The sequence below is a fragment of the Homo sapiens genome, chromosome 17 (assembly GCF_000001405.40).
Source record: "Homo sapiens chromosome 17, GRCh38.p14 Primary Assembly".
NCBI classification, from domain to species: Eukaryota; Metazoa; Chordata; class Mammalia; order Primates; family Hominidae; genus Homo; species Homo sapiens.
This window is the reverse complement of record NC_000017.11, coordinates 42478756-42502756: the sequence shown is the minus strand read 5'-3', so window position 1 is coordinate 42502756 and position 24001 is coordinate 42478756. Positions and strand designations below refer to the sequence as shown.

At 44.4% G+C, this 24001-nt stretch overlaps 1 protein-coding gene and 1 non-coding gene across 39 annotated transcripts in view, besides 1 other annotated feature; both read right to left on the bottom strand.

Annotated features, from left to right (window-relative positions):
• The window catches only part of ATP6V0A1 (ATPase H+ transporting V0 subunit a1), a 63702-nt gene that overhangs the window by 19823 nt on the left and 19878 nt on the right, over window positions 1-24001 (bottom strand). For 29 of the 38 annotated variants that reach the window (XR_007065303.1, XR_007065304.1, XR_007065306.1 and 26 more), the window contains 10 exons: window positions 22008-22090; window positions 19626-19719; window positions 15390-15602; window positions 12120-12270; window positions 8284-8423; window positions 7569-7723; window positions 7041-7131; window positions 3715-3833; window positions 1834-2050; window positions 1453-1560 (listed from right to left, as the gene is read on the bottom strand). Coding sequence is in view for 33 of the 38 variants with exons in the window: in NM_001378534.1 (NP_001365463.1) it covers window positions 1453-1560; window positions 1834-2050; window positions 3715-3833; window positions 7041-7131; window positions 7569-7723; window positions 8284-8423; window positions 12120-12270; window positions 15390-15602; window positions 19626-19719; window positions 22008-22090 (1371 nt within the window). In the remaining 5 variants the exon portion in view is untranslated. Of the gene's footprint in view, window positions 1-1452; window positions 1561-1833; window positions 2051-3714; window positions 3834-7040; window positions 7132-7568; window positions 7724-8283; window positions 8424-12119; window positions 12271-15389; window positions 15603-19625; window positions 19720-22007; window positions 22091-23707; window positions 23831-24001 lie in introns of all 38 variants that reach the window. The other 9 variants (NM_001378531.1, NM_001378532.1, NM_001378530.1 and 6 more) reach the window with 3 other exon arrangements.
• MIR548AT (microRNA 548at) lies at window positions 7927-7984 on the bottom strand. The gene has a single exon (NR_049845.1). It is a non-coding gene; the product is annotated as a microRNA 548at (primary transcript).
• Window positions 18057-18116: a silencer, noted in NCBI's record as "silent region_8530". NCBI's record gives its function as "represses an Ori minimal core promoter by ATAC-STARR-seq in GM12878 lymphoblastoid cells {active_cell/tissue: GM12878}" and the evidence as "EXISTENCE:reporter gene assay evidence [ECO:0000049][PMID:35858748]".

Here is a 24001-nt window from a genome sequence, read left to right as displayed (position 1 = left end):
AACAAAAGAGGGAGGGAGTGAAGTGGGGAGACAAATGGAGGGTACATGGAAGGATGAAGATGGTCAGAAAAGGGAGAAGGAGGGTCTTGTAACTCAGCTGCTCTCCACGGGAGTCATCATCTAACAGCCGTTTAAGAGTCATGCAACAAGATCGTTTGGGTTTTCCCAGGCAGTGTAAAGTAAGTGCTATTGGATACCCAGAAATTATGCATGATACTGAACATCTCGCAAATTTAACTCTGTGTGTGTGTGTGTGTGTGCGCGCGCAGAATTCATATACACACAGACATTAAGTAAACGTATATACATATGCTGCTTTTTAAAAAGAAAAAAAATCAACGTGCTTTAAACCAAACCTTTTTCCCAGATGTTTTGGTCAGTGAAAGTTATCACAGTCTCATTTGAAAGGAAAATGTCTCAATGTCAGTCCTGTGGTTGCCCAGGCAAACCGCATGAGTGAGTTCACCCATCTGCAGCTCTTGCAGCTTTGCTTGGCTTTGGCTGATGCTACATCTAGACAGGCATAGGCCTACATTTTCCTGAGCGCAGCGTGAGCAAAAGCATGACCAGGAAAGGTAAAAATTTGTGACTTTTCTCTCCTCTAGCTACTCAAAGCTGAATCCAGATATCTTGAGCAGCAGACATGTTTCTCTGACTTGGCAGGCCCAGTGCTCGTGCTGGGACATAACACAAATGCGTTTTGTTTGTTTGGTTTTTTGTTTTTGAGACAGAGTCTCACTCTGTCCCCATGCTGGAGTACAGTGGCACAATCTTGGCTGACTGCAACCTCCGCCTCTCAGATTCAAGCGATCCTTCCACCTCAGCCTCCCAAGTAGCTGGGACTACAGGCACGCGCCAACACGCTTGGCTAATTTTTGTATTTTTAGTAAAGATGGGGTTTCACCATGTTGGCCAGGCTGGTCTCAAACTCCTGACCTCAAGTGATCCACCCACCTCGGCCTCCCAAAGTGCTAAAGTGCTGGGATTACAGCAGTGAGGCACTGCGCCCGGCCACAAATGCGTTTTAATAGTATACAGATTTGTGGCCGGGCATGGTGGCTCACGCTTGTAATCCCAGCACTTTGGGAGGCCAAGGTGGACGGATCATGAGGTTAGGAGTTCGAAACCAGCCTGGCTAACATGGTGAAACCCCGTCTCTACTAAAAATACAAGAATTAGCCAGGTGTGGTGGCGTACACCTATAATCCCAGTGACACAGGAGGCTGAGGCAAAAGAATTGCTTGAACCTGGGAGGTGGAGGTTGCAGTGAGCCAAGATCGTACCACTGCACCCCAGCCTGGGGGACAGAGCGAGACTCCGTCTCAAAAAAAGAAAAAGAAAAAGAAAAAGAATATATAGATTTGTGCACAATTAATTATATCCACTGGGGAATTGCCTTGATCTTGAACAAAACAAAAGTCTAGTAACTTTTAGCAATAGAAATACACCTACCAAATGCTTTCTCCTCAAATACTGACGGCGAAGGACCAATGGTTTAAACAGCAGCATCCAAGGTACACACAGTAGTGCAACCACTACCAGGAAACACTGAATTCCTTTCTGCAGAGTAAGAAGAAGGACAAGGTACATCATATAAAAGTCTACCGATCACATACGCAGTTTCCAAATATGGCACAAATTTCCCCCAACAGTACTTTCTTACTAATCTATGAATAACACTATCCAATTTCTCAAAATAATTATCACATTTTGTGGCAAAGCCCTAGAATTGTCCCATAGAAGGGCAGTTATAAATTTTTTAGGGTCAGAGAAACATCTGGCTTCCTGATCAAGTATAATCATCTCAGACAGTCTGCCTCTGGGCTGACGTACCTGTCCAGAATACAACATTGAATAACCAGACTCTGGGTAGGAAAAGAGGAACATGTTTATGAAATGGATCAGAAGGCTTGGTGCATTCTCAGAGGTATGAGCATCATAGGCCGTCCACTTGTAAAAAATAAGGATAACCAAATAGCCAAACAAAGAGGTCATGAAGATTATTTCAGGAATAAATCCAAAGTAGATATTCAGGGGCTTCTTGAAATAGCTAAAAAGGAGAGAGAAAAAAATGTTAAGGGTAAATGGGCCTAGGGCCACTCCTACACTGAATGGAGTATTCACTAGATTTTTCTACTTAATACCCCCTCAATTCTGTCTTTATCACTTTAAGCAGCAGCAACCAGAAGCTGGAGACAACAGAGACAATGCAGGATTAACTATCACGGTCAAACTTTTGAACCTTGGTTTTGTTTTGCTGTTGCTTTTTCTTTTTTGAGACAGGGTCTCACTCTGCTACCCAGCCTGGAGTACAGTGGTGCAATATTGGCTCACCGCAGTCTTAACCTCCCTGGGCTTAGGCAATCCTCTTACCTCAGCCTCTCGAGTAGCTGGGACTACAGGCATGCGCCACCACACCCAGCTAATTTTTACATTTTTTTGTAGAGATGGGGTTTTGCCATGTTGCCCAGACTGGTCTTGAACTCCTGACATCAGGTGATCTGCCCGCCTTGGCCTCCCAAAGTGCAGGATGACAGATGTGAGCCATTGTGCCAGGCCTTAAACTTTTGAACCTTGAACGGCTCCAATACCATCCCCACCATTCTCTCCATGAGAAAGAGAATGGAAAAATCTAGTACATTTTGAGACCACAGTTCATAACTTTTTTTTTTTTTTTTTTTTGTAGAGATGGGGTCTTTTGCCGTGTTACCCAGGCTTGTCTTGAACTCTTGGGCTCAAGTGATCCGCCTGCCTTGGCCTCCCAAAGTGCTGGCATTACAGGTGTGAGCCCCCACACCCAGTCCACAGCTAATAATTTTATGTGAGTTGCACATCAAGGAAAAAAAGAGACCTCACTTATTTTGATGAAAATTGCTCAAGTTTTTTTCAAGGATCTTTACTGGAACAGTAAATTGTTAAAGGACTAATATTAAGTCTAATTTAAGACCATCAACATTTTTTTTTTTTTTGAGATGGAGTCTTGCTCTGTCACCCCGACTGGAGTGCAGTGGTGTTATCTTGGTTTACTGCAACCTCTGCCTCCTGGGTTCAAGCAATTCTCCTGCCTCAGCCACCAGAGTAGCTGGGATTACAGGTGCACGCCACCACACCCGGCTAATTTTTTGTATTTTTAGTAGAGACGGAGTTTCACCATGTGGGCCAGGCTGGTCTTGAACTCCTGACCTCAAGTGATCTGCCCGCCTCATCTTCCCAAAGTGCTGGATTACAAGTGTAAGCCACTGCACCCGGCCAGACCATGAAATTTATTTATTTATTTATTTTTTTTGAGGCAGAGTCTCACTCTGTCGCTCAGGCTGGAGTGCAGTGGTGCCATCTTGTCTCACTGCGACCTCTGCCTCCCAGGTTCAAGCAATTCTCCTGCCTCAGCCTCCCGAATAGCTGGGAATATAGGCGCGTGCCACTACACCTGGCTGATTTTTGTATTTTTAGTAGAGACGGGGTTTCATCGTGTTGGCCAGGCTGGTTTCGAACTCCTGACCTCAGGTGATCCACCGGCCTTGGCCTCCCAAAGTACTGGGATTACAGGCATGATCCACCGCGCCTGGCCACACCATTAAATTTTTAGAAAAGCACTTCTATAATGTAGAATGAGGTTCTGAGTTATTAATCCCTCCCCAAAGATGTCATGATTTCTTTACACAAAAGCATTCTCTAAACTATGCACATTCTTATGACAGAAATGGAACAACTCACATATGGTTGAACAGACTCAGGCTGACTCCAAACAGCATATGGATGATACCAAGGATAACAGACATCTTCATCTTAAAGGAGTTCAAGAACGTCAGTTTATTGGTAGCAATGTTCCAAATCTGTCATAACCCGAGAAAACAAATAGGTATTATAAAGAATTCTCAAAGGGAAAAATATTCCTCTGTTTAAAAAACAATTTTTATTTATTTATTTATTTAGAGACGAGTCTCGCTCTGTCACCCAGGCTGGAGTGCAGTGGCGTGATCTCAGCTCACTGCAAGCTCTGCCTTCCGGGTTCACGCCATTCTCCTGCCTCAGCCTCCCAAGTAGCTGGGACTACAGGTGCCTGCCACCACGCCCAGCTATTTTTTTGTATTTTTAGTAGAGACAGGGTTTCACCGTGTTAGCCAGGATGGTCTCGATTCATGACCTCGTGATTCGCCCGCCTCAGCCTCCCAAAGTGCTGGGATTACAGGCGTGAGCCACCGCGCCCGGTCGACAATTTTTATTTATTAATCAATATTATTTATTATGGAAAATTCTAAACAGATACTTAAGCAGACAGGATGGTACAACAAACTCCCAGGCACCTATCACTCTGCTTCGACAAAATTTTTTTTTTTAATCTTGCTTTTGAGGAGAATGCTTCAAAAATTAACATCACCTTATAGTCATGAAAAAAGATTACTGCCACTCACTCATCTCCACATTACTAAAAAGTCCAGATATCATGTCATTTTACCTGTAAATATTTCAGTGTGGATGTCTAAAAGGAAAAGACTTATTTATTTATTTATTTATTTATTGAGATGGAATTTCGCTCTTTTTGCCCAGGATGGAGTGCAGTGTTCATGATCTCGCTGACTGCAACTTCCACCTCCTGCCTTGCCTCAGCCTCCCAGGTAGCTGGGATTACAGGCACAGGCCACGATGCCCAGCTAATTTTGTATTTTTAGTAGAGATGGGGTTTCACCATGTTGGCCAGGCTGGTCTCAAACTCCTGACCTCAGGTCTGGCCTGAGGCTTGCCTCGGCCTCCCAAACTGCTTGGATTACAGGCTTGAGTCACTGCGCCCGGCCAGTAAGGCTTTTTTTTTTTTTCTTTTTTTTTTGAGATGAACTCTCGCTCTGTCACCCAGGCTGGAGTGCAGTGGTGAAATCTCGGCCTATTGCAAGGTGGGGTTTTCACCATGTTAGCCAGGAAGGTCTCGATCTCTTGACCTCATGATCCGCCCGCCTTGGCCTCCCAAATTGCTGGGATTACAGGCGTGAGCCACCGCGCCCGGCCAGGACTTATTTTTAAAACATGACCACAATATTGTCATCACACGTAAATGCATTAACAATGATTTCTTTTTTTTTTTTTTCTTTTAGATGGAGTCTTACTCTGTCGCCCAGGCTGGAGTGCAGTGGCATGATCTCGGCTCGCTACAACCTCTGCCTCCTGGGTTCAAGCAATTCTCTGCCTCAACTTCCCGAGTAGCTGGAATTACAGGTGCTCGCCACCACGCCTGGCTAATTTTTTTTGTATTTTTAGTAGAGATGGGATTTCACCATCTTGGCCAGGCAGGTCTTGAACTCCTGACCTCGTGATCCACCAGCCTCGGCCTCCCAAAGTGCTGGGATTACAGGTGTGAGCCACCGTGCCCAGCTAACAATGATTCTTTAATATCATAAAATATATAGTCAATATTCAAATTTCTCTGATCTGTGTCCAAACCATTTTTTTTTTTTTTTTTTTTTGAGACAGGGTCTTCACTCTGTCACCCAGGCCGGAGTGCAGTTACGTGATCTTGGCTCACTGCAACCTCTGCCTCCCAGGTTCAAGCTGTTCTCCTGCCTTAGCCTCCTGCCTTAGGACTACAGGCGTGCACCACCACACCCGGCCAATTTTTATACTTCTGGTAGAGATGGGGTTTCACTATGTTGCCCTGGCTGGTCTGGAATTTCCTGACCGCAAGTCATCTGTCTGCCTCGGCCTCCCAAAGTGCTGGGATTACAGGCGTGAGCCACCGTGCCTGGCTTATACATTATGATTGTAGATATATCTCTTGAGTCTCTAAACTACAGGTTCTCCTTCCATCTTTCCTTTTTCATTCATTACAAAATTTCTTTTGAAGAAATTGGGTTGTTTATCTTATATATTTTCCCACAGTCTATGTTTCGCTGATTGTAGCCCTGTGGTGCTGTCATTCCATCTATTTTTTTGAGATGGAGTCTTGCTATGTCCCCCAGGCTGGAGTGCAGTGGCACGATCTGGGCTCACTGCAACCTCCTCCTCCCGGGCGCAAGCAATTCTTCCACAGCCTCCTGTAGCTGGGACTACAGGCATATGCCACCGTGCCCAGCTAATTTCTGTATTTTTAGTAGAGATGGGGTTTCACCATGTTGACCAGGCTGGTCTCGAACTCCTGACCTCAAGTGATCCACCTGACTCTGTGTCCCAAAGTGCTGGGATTACAGGCATGAGCCACCTCGCCCAGCCTGTATTATTTTTTTTTTTCCTCAGCAGTCAGATGCCCTGTATTACATTCTTGCCGCCACTCCATTTTTACAGCACACAATAAAGAAGACTTGATCATACTTAATTTGCCTAAGCATTTGAAAAAAAAATTAATTCTCGGATAAGTTTTTGTAAGTTCGTAAATATAAGAATGCAAGTCTAAAATCCACAGGAAAAATATATTTCTGCTTTGCTAAAATGTCTGCTAAAAATAAAAAACCAAACTAAGTAAGCAGAAATAAATTAAGAAATGGGAAGGAGTCTTGAAAAATCAATCTTCCCAGAGTCGATATTATTAACCACCTCAGAAATAAGCAGCGCAGGGAAAAGTATGTGGCTCCTCAAGGCACTTGGGTCTCTTATGGCTTAGAAGTCCTCTGAATACATACATCAAGGTTTCCCAAAAATATGTCAACGAAAACCCACATAACTATTTTTGTTTGTTTCTTTCTTTCTTTCTTTTTTTTTTTTTTTTTTTTGAGACGGAGTCTTGCTCTGTCACACAGGCTGGAGTGCAGCTTGCTCACTGCAACCTCTGCCTCCCAGGTTCAAGCGATTCTCCTGCCTCAGTCTCCCGGGTAGCTGGGACTACAGGCATGCGCCACCACGCCCGGCTAATATTTTATTTTTAGTAGAGATAGGGTTTCACCATGCTGACCTCAGGTGATCCCACCTCCTCGGCCTCCCAAAGTGCTGGGATTACAGGCATGAGCGACCATGCCCAGTGAAAGCCCACATAACTATTTATCTTCATTTTAATTCTCTTGCTTCAGGGTTAGTGTTAAAAAATTTGAGGTTAGCATATAGGAAGGAAGTCCTCTTACTGGATCAATGCCAAAAGGGTATGGTCCACCAAACACTCCAGGGAGGGCTGGGTTCAGCTGTAGAACAGGGTTCCCCCGAAGCGTCTCTTCACTACCATGACAGGGAAAAAGTCACATTATTTTTGAACAAGAGAGGGAAACAACAAGGGTCCAGAAACTGACCCCAAAATAAATTACTGTAGCTATCTTGTCTCTTCAATAAAATGGGAGGGGAAAAATAAAGAGGAGAGACTAGCAGCTGAGACTGAGGGATCCAAAATGACAAAAAGAAAAATTAAACACACAAACACACAATCAAGTAGGGAACTGGGGAATCTGGTTTTAGTTTCCAAAAAAAAAAAAAATCATTTCTAATCTTAGTTCCTGGATACTTGCTGAACAAATCACAAAGCAACTCACAGTGTGGAGCATGAATGAGGAGACACTGTCACCACTTCCTAAAGAAGTGTCAGTTTACCACTTGTCTTAAAAATCAGGGCTGCACATGAAAGGAATAAGCTTTGAATTTTAGCTTCTTCTGCAACTTACGTCCAATTATAAGTAAACATCGGCCGTACACTCCAGGATGACCCAAAGATATTAAGAGACTTGGAAAAGCAATCATTGTAGATGAGGCCAGTGTACATGGAGAACACACCCATCAATAAAATAATGTATCGACCACTGAACACAGTGCTAAACATCTGGGAACCAGAAGAAAGAAGTAATGAGAATGTACTCACTGCAGCTCACATTGTGACAATGTTATTCAGAATATACCTGCCCCTTTCTCCAGCACTACTTTACCCCATCCTGATTCAGAGAGCTTGAAGTAAAAACCAAAATACAATGCTAATGAGACAGTCACTTTCACAGGATGTGGCCTCTATTTTTTTATTAGGTTGGCACAAAAGTTACTGCGGTTTTGGCCATTTCTTTTGGCAGCCAAAACCGCAATAACTTTTGCACCAAACCTAAATAATTTTTATTTTTTTAGAGATGGGGTCTCACTATGTTGCCTATGCTGGTCTCGAATTCCTGGGCTCAAGTGATTCTCCTGCCTCAGCCTCCAAGTAGCTGGGACTACAGGCACACACTACCACTTCCAGCTTGCACATGTCGTCTTTGGTGTTAAAATGAACATAACTTCTCTACTTCCTTTTGATAAATTCATGGATAAAAGACTTCCAGATCATAATTTTCATAATGAATGCTTGGGAAATTATAAAATTTCAGTTCAATGCAGATGTAACTTAAACATTACCTCATTCTCATTCTTCTGGGAAAGGATCCGGCTCTCCCTCAGTACCATCCACACAGCAAAAAGGGTCATTAAAATGCCATGACCGAAGTCTCCAAACATCACAGCAAATAGAAAAGGGAACGTGATAATAGTATACGGAGCTATGAAGAAACCAAAAAAAGAAAAATACAAAGTACATTAAACCATAGCAATTCCACAAATATTACATTCTTTTCCATACCCACCCCCCTTTTTTTTTTTGAGATGGAGTCTTGCTCTGTCAGCCAGCAATGTCTCAATCTTGGCTCACTGCAACCTCCATCTCCCAGGTTCAAGTGATTCTCCTGCCTCAGCCTCTTGAGTAGCTGGGATTACAGGTGCCCACCACCATGCCTAGCTAAGTTTTGTATTTTTAGTAGAGACAGGGTTTCACCATGTTGCCCAGGCTGGTCTCCGACTCTGACCTCAAGTGATCCACCTGCCTCGGCCTCCCAAAGTGCTGGCATTACAGGCGTGAGCCACCGTGCCCAGGCTTCCATAATCTTAAGATCAATATAAGGTGACTTACTCCCCAGCTGCCAGACAGATAGGACTCTCAGAGAAAATCTTTCATGGCAGAATCAACACATCTTCACAAAGTAGCTAATGAAATTTGAGCTACTGATAACTTTTTTTAAAAGAGAGATGGGGTCTTTCTCTGCCACCCAGGCTGGAGTGCAGTGGTTTCATCACAGCTCACTGCAGCCTGCAACCCCTGGACTCAAGTTATCCTCCCACCTCAGCCTCCCAAACAGTTGGAACTACAAGTATGTGCCACCATGCCCAGTTAATTTTGTTTTAAAATTACTGATAAATAATATTTTTTTAGATGGAATCTCACTATTTTGCCCAAGCTAGTCCTGAACTTGTGGCCTTGAGCAATCCTCCCACCTCAGCCTCCTGAATATCCGAGATTACAGGCATGAGGCACTGTGCCTGGCAGCTCTGATAACATTTCAAACAAAGAACAGTGGAAATGAAGGTGTAACCTTGACAACATTGGTTTGTTCTCTGACTCTCTTGTAACTCGTGGGACCCTGCTCCCAGGGCAGGCCAGCTGTCTTCTCTTTGTGCAGCAACCATGTCCCAGTGATATAAAGCTAAATATCAGATAACGTACAGATGGAGAGAGCCCAGAGCAAAGCAGTTCTTCCATAGGGCTCCAACTGAAAATGAATACTCACACTCTTGATTTAATAATTAACTCTCCAAATATAGGAGAAATCTGTGTTGTACCTAAAGTGGCCAATACTTGCTACATTTTTTCTGTCTAACCTTGGAACAGGGAAGCCAAAAAAAAAGCCATTTAAAAATATCAGACATCTTAGAAGAAACATTTTGCTTAAAACAGTTCCTGCAAATGATTTGCTAGAGAAGTCCAGGTGTTTTAGGGCTGTGAGGGCACATGAAAGAATCCAGTCTCATGAACTTTTTTTTTGAGACAGAGTCTTGCTCTGTCACTCAGGCTGGAGTGCAGTGGCACAATTTAGGCTCACTATAACTTCTGTCTCTTGGGTTCAAGCAATTCTCCTGTCTAGGCCTCCTGAGTAGCTGGGATTACAGGCATGCACCACCAGGCCTGGCTAATTTTCTTGTATTTTTAGTAGAGATAGGGTTTCACCATGTTGGCCAGGCTGGTCTCGAACTCCTGACCTTAAGTGATCCTTCCACCTTGTCCCCACAAAGTGCTGGGATTACAGGCATGAACCACCACGCCCAGCCGATGAACTTTTTTTTTTTTTTTTTTTTGAGACAGAGTTTCACTCTTTTTGCCCAGGCTGGAGTGCAATAATGCAATATCGGCTCACGGCAACCTCCGTCTCCCCGGTTCAAGTGATTCTCCTGCCTCAGCCTCCCGAGTCGCTGAGATTACAGGCAAGAGCCACCATGCCTGGCTGATTTTGTATTTTTAGTAGAGACGGGGTTTCTCCATGTTGGTCAGGCTGGTCTCGAACTCCTGACCTCAGGTGATCCACCTGCCTCGGCCTCCCAAAGTGCTGGGATTACAGGCGTGAGCCACCACACCTGGCCCAGCCGATGAACTCTTAAAGGAACGCTACCTGACAGTAAACCTGCCCCTTACATTAAATGGGCATCTTTTTGTTGTTGCCCAAGCTGGAGTGCAGTGGCATGATGTCGGTTCACTGCAACCTTTGCCTCCTGGGTTCAAGTGATTCTCAGGCCTCAGCCTCCCGAGTAGCTGGGACTACAGGTGCATGCCACCAAATCCGGCTAATTTTTGTATTTTTAGTAGAGGCAGGGTTTCACCATGTTGGCCAGGCTGGTCTCAAACTCCTGACCTCATGTGATCCACATGCCTCAGCCTCCCAAAGTGCTGGGATTACAGGCGTGAGCCACCATGCCCTGCCAGAATGAGCACCTCTTCACAGGGAGTACACAAGATCTGAGGTGTCAACATGTTTATTTATTTTTTAATAGAGATGGGGTCTCACTATGTTGCCCAGGCTGATCTTGAAATCCTGGGCTTAAGCAATCCTCCTACCTCGGCCTCTAAAAGTGCTAGGATTGGCTGGGCGCAGTGGCTCACGCCACCCAGCACTTTGTAATCCCAGCACTTTGGGAGGCCAAGGCGGGTGGATCATGAGGTCAGGAGATCGAGACCATCCTGGCTAACACAGTGAAACCCTGTCTCTACTAAAAATACAAAAAAATGGCCGGGCGCAGTGGCTCACGTCTGTAATCCCAGCACTTGGGGAGGCAGAGGCAGGCAGATCACCTGAAGTCAGGAGTTAGAGATCAGCCTGGGCAACATGGTGAAACCCCGTCTCGACTAAAAATACAAAATTAGCCGGGCGTGATGGCACATGCCTATAATCCCAGCTACTCGGGAGGCTGAGGCAGGAGAATCGCTTGAACCTGGGAGGCAGAGGATGTGGTGAGCTGAGATCGTGCCATTGCACTCCAGCCTGGGCAACGAGAGTAAATCTCTGTCTCACCTAAAAAAAATAAAAAAAAAATTAGCCGGGCATGGTGGCGGGTGCCTGTAGTCCCAGCTATTCGGGAGGCTGAGGCAGAAGAATGGCGTGAACCTGGGAGGCAGAGCTTGCGGTGAGCCAAGATCACGCCACTGCACTCCAGCATGGGTGACACAGCGAGACTCCGTCTCAAAAAAAATTAAAAATAAAATTAAATTAAAAAAACAGTGCTAGGATTAACATCTTTAATTTTAATTCAGTTATTCAACAGCATTTAAAGTGAGGCATTAGAAGAAACAATGAACAAAAAGGCCAGGCATAGTGGGTCACACCTGTAATCCCAGCACTTTGGGAGGCTGAAGCAGGAGGCTTCCTTGAGCCCAGGAGTCCAAGACTAGCTTGGGCAACATAACAAGACCCCGTCTCTAAAAAAAATTAAAAATTATCAGCCTGGGCAACATAGCAAAACCCATCTCTAAAAAAATTTTAAAAATTAGCCAGGCATGGTGACACATGCCTGTAGTCCCAGCTACTCCAGAGGTTCAGGCGGGAGAATCACTTGAGCCCACGAGGTTGAGGCTGCTGTAAGCCGTGATTTCACCATTGCACTACAGCCTAGGCAACAGAATGAGACCCAGTCAAAAAAAAATCATAAAATAAAAAATTAGCCAGGTGTGGTGCTGTGCGCCTGTGGTCCTAGCTATACAGGAGACTGAGTTGGGAGGATCTCTTGAGGCCAGGAGTTTGAGGCTGCAGTGAACTACAGTCGTGCTGCTGCACTCCAGCCTGGGTGACAGAGGGAGACTCTGTCTCAAAACAAACCAAACCAACCAAACAAACAAAAAAAACTCTAGAGGAAAAAGATAACAAGCTTTTTTTTACCTGGATTTATCTCTCGGTAAGTTCCAATTCCATAAGCATCTACTATGTTCTGAAAGCCATAGGTAAACTTGTTGGTTTTGTTATAGGTTGGGGGAGTCTGGTTTGTCTGCATCCTGTTCAAAATGGAAGGTACAGTGGAACCACTGTGTTCCTGAAAAACATTAGCACATTTATCAAACTTAGGTTATCCTCCTAATTGTGGTAGTGGTTACACAGGTGTACATTTCTTGAAACTCATCAAATGGTACACATAAAATGTATGTATTTTCTTTCATGTAAATTATATCTCAATAAAACTAATAAACCTAAAAATAAAACTAGATTATCTTTCCCAGCTTTTGGGAAAACTGGGAAAAGGTATAACATTTATAATGGAAGATTTCTATTAGATCCTCTGAAATACATCCTTAATGTGAAAAAAATTTAACTTTAAAATATGTCACCAAAGAAAATGTGGAACTGCCTCCATATCTGCCTTTTTATGAAAGTTGTTCTCCCCCTTTCATGGAGAAAGCAAAGTATGTTCTCTGGCTCTCCTTCTTCACTACCTTCTCTTAACTTCCTGATCCCTTGCAGTCTGGCTGAGCATGCTTAGGCAAAGTGACTGGCTCCTGACCAAAGAGCTTCTCTCCCCCATGCACGCCCCTGACATTGGAGATCTTTGGTGAAAATCCTTCTTCCTTAGGAGTTCTCCTCCTGCTCGCTGACCATTGCTTTTCTATCTTTGCTGGTTATTTCTGCTCTGCCTATCTCATAGCATTGCAAGACCCCAACCTTTTTTTTCTCTCTATGACCTCCCTCTTGGAGGTCTCATTCCCTTCCATTCTCATGACTCCCATTTCCTTAGCTTTGTTCCCTTGTCTGCTTGACATTTCCACATAGACCTCAATGTGCCCGGAACTGAACTTACCATCTCTCCCCAATCAATAAGCTTCTCTGGCTGAACATTTACTTCCCTCATTGGAACCCTAATTCTCCTGGCCAGTCAGCTTTGATGCCTCAAAAAGATGTTTAAATCTTTCTCCTTGTATTTCTCCTGCACCTTGCTAGGAACCAGGTAGCCCTATTGATTTTTCCTGCAGAACATCTCACAATTCATCATTTTTTTTCCCATTGTCAAGTCCTACCTGGGGATCCTTATCATTTACTACTCTATGTCTACAATAACCTCCTAACTGAACCCCTACCTACAGAATCTCTTCACTCCTCAATCCAACCTAGATACTATCAGCAGATTACTCTTTTAAAACTGCTTTGAGCCAGGAGAAGTGGCTCATGCCTGTAATCCCTGCACTTTGGGAGGCTGAGGCGGGTGGATCACCTGAGGTCAGGAGTTCGACACCAGCTTGGTCAACGTGATGAAACCCCGTCTCCACTAAAAATACAAAAAATTAGCTGGGTGTGGTGGCGCACACCTGTAATCCCAGCTACTCAGGAGGCTGAGGCAGGAGAATCACTTGAAGCAGGGAGGTGGAGGGTGGAGGTTGCAGTGAGCCGAGATCATGCCACTGCACTCCAGCCTGGGCAACAAGAGCAAAACTCCATCTCAAAAAAAAAAAAACCAAAAAACAAAAAAACTGCTTTGATCCACCAGGCGTGGTGACCCACTTTTTTTTTTTTTTTGAGACAGAGTCTCACTCTGCTGTCCAGGCTGGAGTGCAGTGGCATGATCTCAGCTCACTGCAACCTCTGCCTCCTGGGTTCAAGTGGTTCTCCTGCCTCAGCCTCCTGAGTAGCTGGGATCACAGGCACCCACCACCATACCTGGCTAACTTTTTTGTATTTTTAGTAGAGACGGGGTTTTGTCATGTTGGCCAGGCTGGTCTCAAACTCCTGACCTCAAGTGATGACCCGCCTCAACCTCCCAAAGTGCTGGATTACAAGAGTGAGTCACCACGCCTGGCCCCAACACTTTGGAAGGCCAAGGAAGGCAGATCACTCGAGCCCAGGAATTTGAGATCAGCCTGGGCAACATGGCAAAACCCTGTCTCTACAAAAAATTAGCCACGCATGATGGTGGGCACCTGTAGTCCCAGCTACCGGGAGTCTGAAGTGGGAGGATTGCTTAAGCCCAGGAGTTGGAAGCTGAAGTGAGCTGAGATGGCACCACTGCACTCCAGCCTGGGTAACAGAGCAAGATCTTGTCTCAAACACAAAATTAAAAATGTAAAAAACCACCCAAACTGCTTTGATCATGTTCCTTTACCCCTAAAGAACTTCCAATGTCTCTCAACTTCCTCTGGAATAAAATTTAAATCTTCTAAGCTATTATTTAAGAACCTTTCACAATTAAGTTCCAAACTACCTGATGCAGACAGGTACTTCTCTTCAGCTAACCCACTGTAAATCCTGTTCTTGTCCAAACATACATGGTCTAACCATACTTCCTGCCTTTGTTTTCTTCTCTTCATTCAGCAGTCTTACCAACAACTTATCATTCTTCAAAGACCTGATCAAATGCCACCTGCTTAAAGCTTTTTCCAACTCCATAGTTGGAACTCTCCTAATAAACTGTAAGATACTCGAGGGCATGTTTTATACATCTCTGTACTCCTCCAGGCACTTACAGCACTTCTGTGGACAGAGTAGTTGTTCTAATTAACTACTAAACAGAAACAGTCATATACAGAGAGGGCATCAGGAAACTGATGCCCTGGCCATGAACAACCCTGAAGAATCATGGGCATATGACCAAATTATTTCAGCTCTCTGAACTGCAGTCTCCACATATGCAAAATAAAGATATGCTATGCTACGCTATGATATACATATTATATGCCAGGCTATGTATGAAATGTGCTGTCAAGTTAAAAGACAAATAAATATATTGAAGAACTCTGAAGGTGAAATGCCATAAAAATGACATTAATGTTACTATTTATTTATTTTTTATTATTATTTTTTTTTTTTGAGACAGAGTCTCGCTCTGTTGCCCAGGCTGGAATGCAGTGGCGCAATCTCAGCTCACTGCAAGCTCCGCCTCCCAGGTTCACTTGATTCTTCTGCCTCAGTCTCCAGAGTAGCTGGGACTACAGGCGCCTGCCAACACGCCCGGCTAATTTTTTGTATTTTTTAGTAGAGACGGGGTTTCACCGTGTTAGCCAGGATGGTCTCGATCTCTTGACCTCATGATCTGCCCGCCTCGGCCTCCCAAAGTTCTGGGATTACAGGCATGAGCCACCGCGCCCGGCCAAAAATGACATTAATGTTACTATTGATGGGAACCTCTCTTCCGGGCCACGAGCTGCATTGTTAGCTTTGGGGACTCACCGTGCCCCTTCTGAGTGCAAACTGGATGGAGTCAAGGTCGGTGACAGGGCACCAGACCTCTGCAATCAAGCATTTCTGAGTCACATCTATGTTGCACAGGTTCAGGGTGTGATAGATGGCCTTCATCTTCCGCACTTTGATGAACCAGACACGGATGTTCTTAGCAGCTGCCTGCAGAACCCTCTGGCGGTGATCCTCCGTTTGATTCAGAACCTTTGGGGAGAAAAGGAACAAGCGAGGGATCCTTTTAACACCAGTTTTAGATCTCAGGGTATGAATGGCAAAGAGGCATAGCTTTCTGAAAAGAGTTGCCAGGGAATTGTCTTTTTCTTCCTCTGGCTAGAATGGTTTCTTTTTTCCAAATTACAAGAAATTAGAGTTCTAGTTACTAACATTCACTTTTATTTAGCTTCAACCTAAAAAGAAACCTGAGAAAATAGTTTAGCTTTTCTATATATGTTCAATCTTACCACCAATCCAAGGCACAACAAATGTAGGTCACTGCCTTTAACTTGGCTTATTAAAGAGCAACGACTTTCTATGTGGGGAATGTAACTCAGTAGGCATCACAAGCCCAGGAGCTGACAAATTAACAAATCCACACAGAATCCTTTGCACATGGGCCAGCATCAGGAGAGGGTGGAAAGAGGCAGTGCTGAATACCACCACCAGCCTACACTGGGAACATGGGCCAGGAGACGCCATGGGATCAGGAGCACCTGTGATCTTTACAGGGGGCTTGGACTGCCACATACCACTGCCATCATGAGGGCAGCTAAGGTGTTACCTTTATGTCAGGCTTCTCATCAGAGGAAAAAATGGTTCAGTGTTGATCCTTTTGAAATCAGTACAGATTTCCCTCAGAGGAATTACAGTGCCAAGACTAAGGTGGGAGGAAGGTACAGGAACATTTTACATTCCACTGGCTTAATACCAAATATTTAATTTTTTTTTTTTGAGATGGAGTCTCGCTCTGTGGCCCAGGCTGGAGTGCAGTGGCGTGGTCTCAGCTCACCACAACCTCCACCTCCCGGGTTCAAACGATTCTCCCGCCTCAGCCTCCTGAGTAGCTGGGATTACAGGCGCGCGCCACCATGCACGGCTAATTTTTATATTTTTAGTAGAGACGGGGTTTCACCATGTTGGTCAGGCTGGTCTCGAACTCCTGACATCGTGATCCACCCACCTCGGCCTCCCAAAGTGTTGGGATTACAGGCATGAGCCAACATGTCCAGCCCATATTTAAGTTTTTAATAGCAGGTGTGGCTAAGCCTGTTGCTTCCAACTGGAAGAAATTAGGCAAGCAACCCAAAGCACAAGTCTCCATCATAGACAATTCTTCAAGTTAGTTCAGAACAAAGCAGTAACTACTCCCTGAAAAATTGTCTTGGGCAGAGGAAGGTGACTTCCTTTGTTTTGTTTTGCTTTGTTTTTAAAAGCAAAGCCATGTCATGCTAGGAAACACATCACTTGAAGATAGCTACTTTCTTTCCTTCTGGTTGTGGACTATTTCACAATTACTATTACTCACTCCTGTAATCCCAGCACTTTGGGAGGCCAAGGCAGGAGGATTGTTTGAGGTCAAGAGTTCCAGACCAGTTTGGGCAACATAGTGAGACCCTATCTCTACAAAAACATACCAAAAAATAATTAGCTGGGCATGGCAGCAGGCACCTGTAGTCCCAGCTACTTGGGAGGCTGAGACAGATTGTTTGAGCCTAGTCGGTCAAGGCTGCAGTGAGCCAAGATTGTGCCACTGCATTCCAGCCTGGGTGACAGAGTGAGATCTGTCTTTAAAACAAAACAAAACAAAACAAAACAAAACAAACAAACAAAACACAAAAAACCCTTCTTCTAGAAGGATGCTAAAGAAACTAGCAAGCAATGTTCTATTTGCCGTTCTCTTTCCTCATCCCATTCCTTGGTATTCAATCCCTTTTTAAACTTTCAGTTCCTACAGCTAGATTTTTAAAAAATCAAATTCTGGTCAGTTATAATGACTACCACATATGCTCTTTAAATCTACCCATAGGTCTGGAAGGAGATTAAGACAGCCTTAGAACCCAGAATATACTAATATAGCCTATCACTCACCAGCAGTTCTAAAACTCTCTCTCTCTGCTTAAACAGGTTAAGTGTATCTCAAAGGAGCCAGCAATAGGTCAGGTTGGTGGGTCATATATGATGGAGGTCACTGAGAGTTAAAATGGAAGTTACAGGCTGGGCACGGTGGCTCATACCTGTAATCCCAGGACTTTGGGAGGCCGAGGCAGGCAGATCATCTGAGGTCAGGAGTTCAAGACCAGCCTGGCCAACATGGCAAAACCCCATCTCTACTAAAAATACAAAAATTAGCCAGGTATGGTGGCAGGCATCTGTAATCACAGCTACTCAGGAGGCTGAGGCAGGAGAATTGCTTGAATCTGTGAGGCAGAGGTTGCAGTGAGCCGAGATCGCGCCACTGCACTCTAGCCTGAGAGACAGAGCAAGACTCTGTCTCAAAAAAAAAAAAAAAGAAAAGAAAAGAAAAAAGAAATGGAAGTTACAACATACCCCTGACAATTCCTGACAATTCTGCCACTGCCAAAAGGAACTGCCTTTGGGATTAAGTATGTTTATTAATATTCTAAGGGGGCAATCATCACTTTCATTCTTTCAAAGGGAACAAAGCCCCACTCACCAGCCTTTCCTTCCATGTACACACAGTTCACAACTCCTCCCTCAGAGCCCTGTGATAACCGTGGTGTGCATAAACCACACTTACTGCAATTTGGCAAAACTCCAACACAGTCTCTTCTTGGGTACAAAAGTCACACCAGAGCTTTTTGGCTAGTCTGTGTGGTTAAGATCAAAGGTGACCGCAAGGATGCATGCCGAGCTATTGGGACCAGCTGCCTCAGGAGGGTGTGTGGGAGAAGGCAGAACTGACTACTCATGTATTTTTAGATTGTTTGATATATATTTGTCTTAACTAAGCATACTTTTAAAAAATTATTATCATAAAAACTATCAGCCGGGCGCGGTGGCTCACACCTATAATCCCAGTACTTTGGGAGACCGAGGCAGGCAGATCACACGGTCAGGAGATCGAGATCATCCTGGCTAACACGGTGAAACCCTGTCTCTACTAAAAAATACAAAAAATTAGCCGGGCGTGTGGCGGGCCCCTGTAGTCCCAGCTACTCGAGAGGCTGAGGCAGGAGAATGGCGTGAACCCGGGAGGTGGAGCTTGCAGTGAGCCGAGATCGCGCCACTGCACTCCAGCCTGGGTGACAGAGACTCCGTCTCAAAAACAAACAAACGAACAAACAAAACAAAAAACAAAAAACAAAAAAAACTATCTCAGACTTGGCTGGGCGCAGTGGCTCACGCCTATAATCCCAGCACCTTGGGAGGCTGAGGCAGGTGGATCACTTGAGGTCAGGAGTTCAAGACCAGCCTGGCCAATATGGTAAAACCCCATCTCTACTAAAAATACAAAAATTAGGCCAGGCACAGTGATTCACACTTGTAATCCCAGCACTTTGGGAGGCCAAGGTGGGAGGATCACTTGAGGTCAGGCGTTTGAGACCAGCCTGGCCAACATGGTGAAACCCTGTCTCTACTAAAAATACAAAAATTAGCCAGGTTTAGTGGCACATGCTTGTCATCCCAGCTACTTGGGAGGATGAGGCAGGAGAATCGCTTGAACCTGTGAGGCAGAGGTTGCAGTGAGCCAAGATCACACCACTGCACTCCACCCTGGGCAAAAGAGCAAGACTCCATCTCAAAAAAATAAATAAAAATACAAAAATTAGTCGGGCATGGTGGCACATGCCTGTAATCCCAGCTACTCAGGAGGCTGAGGCAGGAGCATCACTTGCGCCTAGGAGGCGGAGGTTGCAGTGAGCTGAGACAGCGCCATGGCATTCCAGCCTGGGTGACAGAGTGAGACTCTGTCTCAAAAAAAAAAAAAATCTCAGACCCATGAGGTGGAGAGGAATTGAATATGCTAGGCAACAACGATTCTAGATGCTTTACATTCCTGTCTCGTTTGAGGATGGCTAATGCTATTTTTAACCATCATTCCCTGATACTTTCTCAGCTCCCAGAAGGACATATTACCCATGTACATTTCTTTTTTTGGTATCCTGGTTTGCTACAGGTACCTTATAGAATATCAGCATTTCAAGGAAGGATAATGGTCTCGTATTCCAGTATTTCACAAAAACAAATTCCCTCCAGCCTTCTGCATACCATTTGGAGATCATCAATCCTGGTATTCACTCCAGAAGCCATTTCCTTCCTCTCCTGTGGTGTCTCAGGACAGGGATAGAGTGAGGCTCGGAACCTGGAATATAAGAACATCGAAGTTTCTTAACTTATCTAATTTAAATAATCTCAGAAAGTAATCCTAATGTACCAGAAGGACCAAAACAGGATTAGGTCAGACCGATGTATTAAGTCAACACTTTTTTTTTTTTTTTTTTTTTGAGACAGAGTTTCACTCTGTCACCCAGGCTGGAGTGAAGTGGCACGATCTCAGCTCACTGCAACCTCTGCCCCTGGGTTCAAGTGATTCTTCTGCCTCAGCCTTCCAAGTACCTGGGATTATAGGCGCCTGCCACCACACCTGGCTAATTTTTGTATTTTTACTAGAGACAGGGTTTCACCATGTTGGCCAGGCTGATCTCGAACTCCTGACCTTAGGCGATCCACCCACCTCGGCCTCCCAAAGTGCTGAGATTACAGGCATGAGCCATCATGCCCAGCCTAAGTCAACACTTACGTAAAATGACCTGCAGACGGAGCAATTATAGCATCCGAACTATCTTGACATTCTCTGTAGCTATGAAATTCCTTTGTGATTAAAAAAAAAAAGTAAAGCAAATTATATTGTAAATTAACGGAGTAAGATGGCATGGAAAAAATTCTGCCCCTAGACCAGGTGCAGTGGCTCACGCCTGTAATCCCAGCACTTTGGGAGGCTGAGGCAGGTGGATTGCTTGAGTCTAGGAGTTTAAGACCAGCCTGAGCAACATGGTGAAACCTCATCTCCACAAAAAATACAAAAATTAGTCGGGCATGGTGGCACATGCCTGTAGTCCCAGTTACTCATGGGGCTGCGGTGGGAGAATCAACTGAGCTCAGGAAGTCAAGGCTGCAGTGAGCTGTGATCATGCCACTGCACTTTAGCCTGGGCAACAGAGTGAGACCCTGCCTCAAAACAAAAACAAAACAAAAAAAAGGCCAGGCACAGTGGCTTACACCTGTAATACCAGTACTTTGAGAGCTGAGGCGGGCAGATTGCTTGAGATTAGGAGTTCGAGATCAGCCTGGCCAACACGGCAAAACCCCATCTCTACTAAAAATACAAAAATTAGCCGGGTGTGCTGGCACGCATCTGCAGTCCCAGCTACTCGGGAGGCTGAGGCAGGAGAATCGCTGGAACCCTGGAGGTGAAGGTTGCAGTGAGCTGTGATTGTGCCACTGCACTCCAGCCTGGGTGGCAGCGCAAGACTCTGTCTCAAAAAAAAGATCTGTCCCTAAGGCAGAATTTCAGAAAATTTAAGGACATAGCATCTATGCTAAGTATGGAGACTCACTGTCCCAGAATAATATGGCATTTATAAACCATGAGTCCTTAAGAGTTATTTTTCCCCAAGTTAAGGAAATTATGGTCCTTTTTTTTCAGTTTTTAGTTTTTTATAGACATGGGGTCTCACTAAGTTGGCCAGGCTGGTCTTCAAATCCTGGGGTCAAGCAATCCTCCTGCCTTGGCCTCCCAAAGTGTTGGGATTACAGGCATGAGCCATTGTATCTGGCCACAACTGTGGTTCTGATGGTATTTTTTAAAATGAATTTAGGGCCAGGCACAGTGGTTCACACCTGTAATCTCAGCATTTTGGGAGGCTGAAGTGGGTGGATCACCTGAGGTCAGGAGTTCAAGACCAGCCTGGCCAACATGGCGAAACCCCATCTCTACTAAAAATACAAAAAAAAAAATTAGCCAGGTGTGGTGGCAGGTACCTGTAATCCCAACTACTCGGGTGGCTGGAGAATCACTTGAACCTGGGAGGCAGAAGTTGCAGTGCTCCAAGATCGCACCATCGTACTCCAGCCTGGGCGTGGAGGGAGACTCGGTCAGAAAAAAAAAAAAAAGAGAAAAAGAATTTAGTGGCTCACGCCTCTAATCCCAGCACTTTGGGAGGTTGAGATGGGCAGATCCCTTGAGTCCAGGAGTTCCAGGCCAGCCTGGGCAACATGGCAAAACCCCGTCTCTACAAAGAATACAAAAAATTAGCCAGGTATGGTGGCACACGCCTGTAGTCCCAGCTACCCTAGAGGCTGAGGCAGGAGAATCCCCTGAGCCCAGGCAGTCAAGGCTGCCGTGAGCCGTGATCATGCCACTGCACTCCAGCCTGGGCAACAGAGTGAGACCCCCCCATCTGAACAACAAAAATAAAAATAAAAATGAATGCAGGCTATTTCTAATTGATTAAAATAGCCCCTAACATTATTAAAATTAACTGTGTTGAGGTAGACTAAAAAGGATTTGTATTTCACTATTGTGAACTTTAAGACTCAACAGTTGGGCAGCATGGCTGTGCACTCCTGGTAGAGGCATGCCTCTCTTACCCTTCACAGATTTTCTTGACTCTGTTTTTCAGCTGATCGCCTTGGAAGAAAATGATAAACACAGACTTGTGCACGTAGTCGCCCTAGGCCCCAGAATAAAAAAACAAGAGTTCAGACTTCTGTATCTGGATGAAAATCTCTTAAATAACCCACTTTTTTGGTGATGCAAGAACAACAGGCATCTTTTAAGGACATGGCAGTCCTGCATTTTAACCACTGCCCTCACTCCATTTCCTAAGCTTCACTACAAGAACATCTGCCCTATAATCTCTAATTCACAAAAATCTTTCTCTATTTGTTTTTTTGACTCAACCAGGAGCTTGAAGCTAAGATGATGCTCCTCTTAGCACTGTTTAGACTTATTTACCAATTCAGCTTTAAATCTTATATTGCCTGAATGATGAAAGTATAGGAGAGAAAAGAGAAGGAAGCCATTTCTGCCTGTTCTGGGACTTAGAAATTCTTAGATAAAAGGGGCTGAATAACTACAAGGAACTGAGTCCCTGGAAAGAATGCTGATATAGAATCTCACAATTCAAGCTAATCTGGACTTTATGGGGCAGGGAGGAAGGTAATCCATTCCAAATACCAAATTTATACCTGAAGTATGATGCAAGGACTGGAAGGAAAGATCAGAAAAAAAGGTGTATGGTGTGTTAACCAGGATTGTCTCAGGTTGCCTGTATTTTCTCATAGTCATACACAGCATGTAGAGCTTTTATAATAACAAACAAAACTTTAGAAGGATAAAAGGGGATGAGGAGTGAAGAAAATTGGGCTCAAGGGTCTGAAATCCCTAAATTCTGTAGGCTAAACTAGAACCCATTCTTTGTGCAGCCTGCTCTGTTACAGATATCCAGGGTCCCCATTTCTGGATTTGTTGATAAAATAACCTTTCTGTTGCCAAGAGGAAACTTGACTGAATATTCCTGAGAAAAGTTCCTCATTAATGTGACTACAAATTACAACGTTTCCACAACCTGATGGCCTTTGGCAAGATTGTGAAACTACACCCCTAGGCAGGGGGTTCACCTGAAGTGTAACCACACTCCTCCACGGCATGGAGGATGAAAGACCTGCAGCTGCACAGCCCACCCAATCTGAGAAATCTCACAATTCAATCTCTCTCTTTTTAGGTAAAGAACACGAATTTAAGAAATTCACAAGATAATTTAGAACAGAAAAGCTAACTTTAGGTTTCTAAATAATACTAGTACAAAAGCAAAGCAAAATTTTTGCAGTACATTTATCTTCACTGGTACTCCCTGAAATCAGGACTCACCATACCTAAATGCAGGTTTAGACGATAAACTCTGTCCCATTATGGCAAATGCCAGGATGTTAAACTGTTTCTACTTCCTGAAGTACTGGGTGGGGAAGATCATCCTATTTTGTGCGATATCTATTCTTAAACTAAGTTTCTAATCCTTCCAACAAACAAACAAAAAAACTTTACCAAGTAAAATTTCATCAGCTTATTAAGATCACAGTCTAGGAAATCTCTCCTTCTCTTTTTATACATGAATATTACCAAACTTGGGGCTGGGCATGGTGGCTTATGCCTATAATCCCAACACTTTGGGAGGCCGAGGCAGGCAGATCACTTGAGATCAGAAGTTCAAGACCAGCCTAGGCAACATGGTAAAACACTGTCTGTACTGAAAATACAGAAAAAATTAGCCAGGCATCATGGCACATGCCTGTAATCCCCAGCTACTCGGGAGGCTGAGGCAGGAGAATCGCTTGAACCCAGGAAGCGGAGGTTGTGGTGAGCCGAGATCGCGCCACTGCACTCTAGCCTGGACAACAGAGTGAGACTCCACCTCAAAAAAAAAAAAATTACCAAATTTGGAACCAGATGTCTTGCTTTAAAGTTAATTTTCATAAAAGGCAAATGAGTGAAAATAAAAATTTCCAATCAGAATAACATCTACACGGGTAAACTTGAAAATATGTATATGTCATGTATACATCATACATCCATATGTATATAT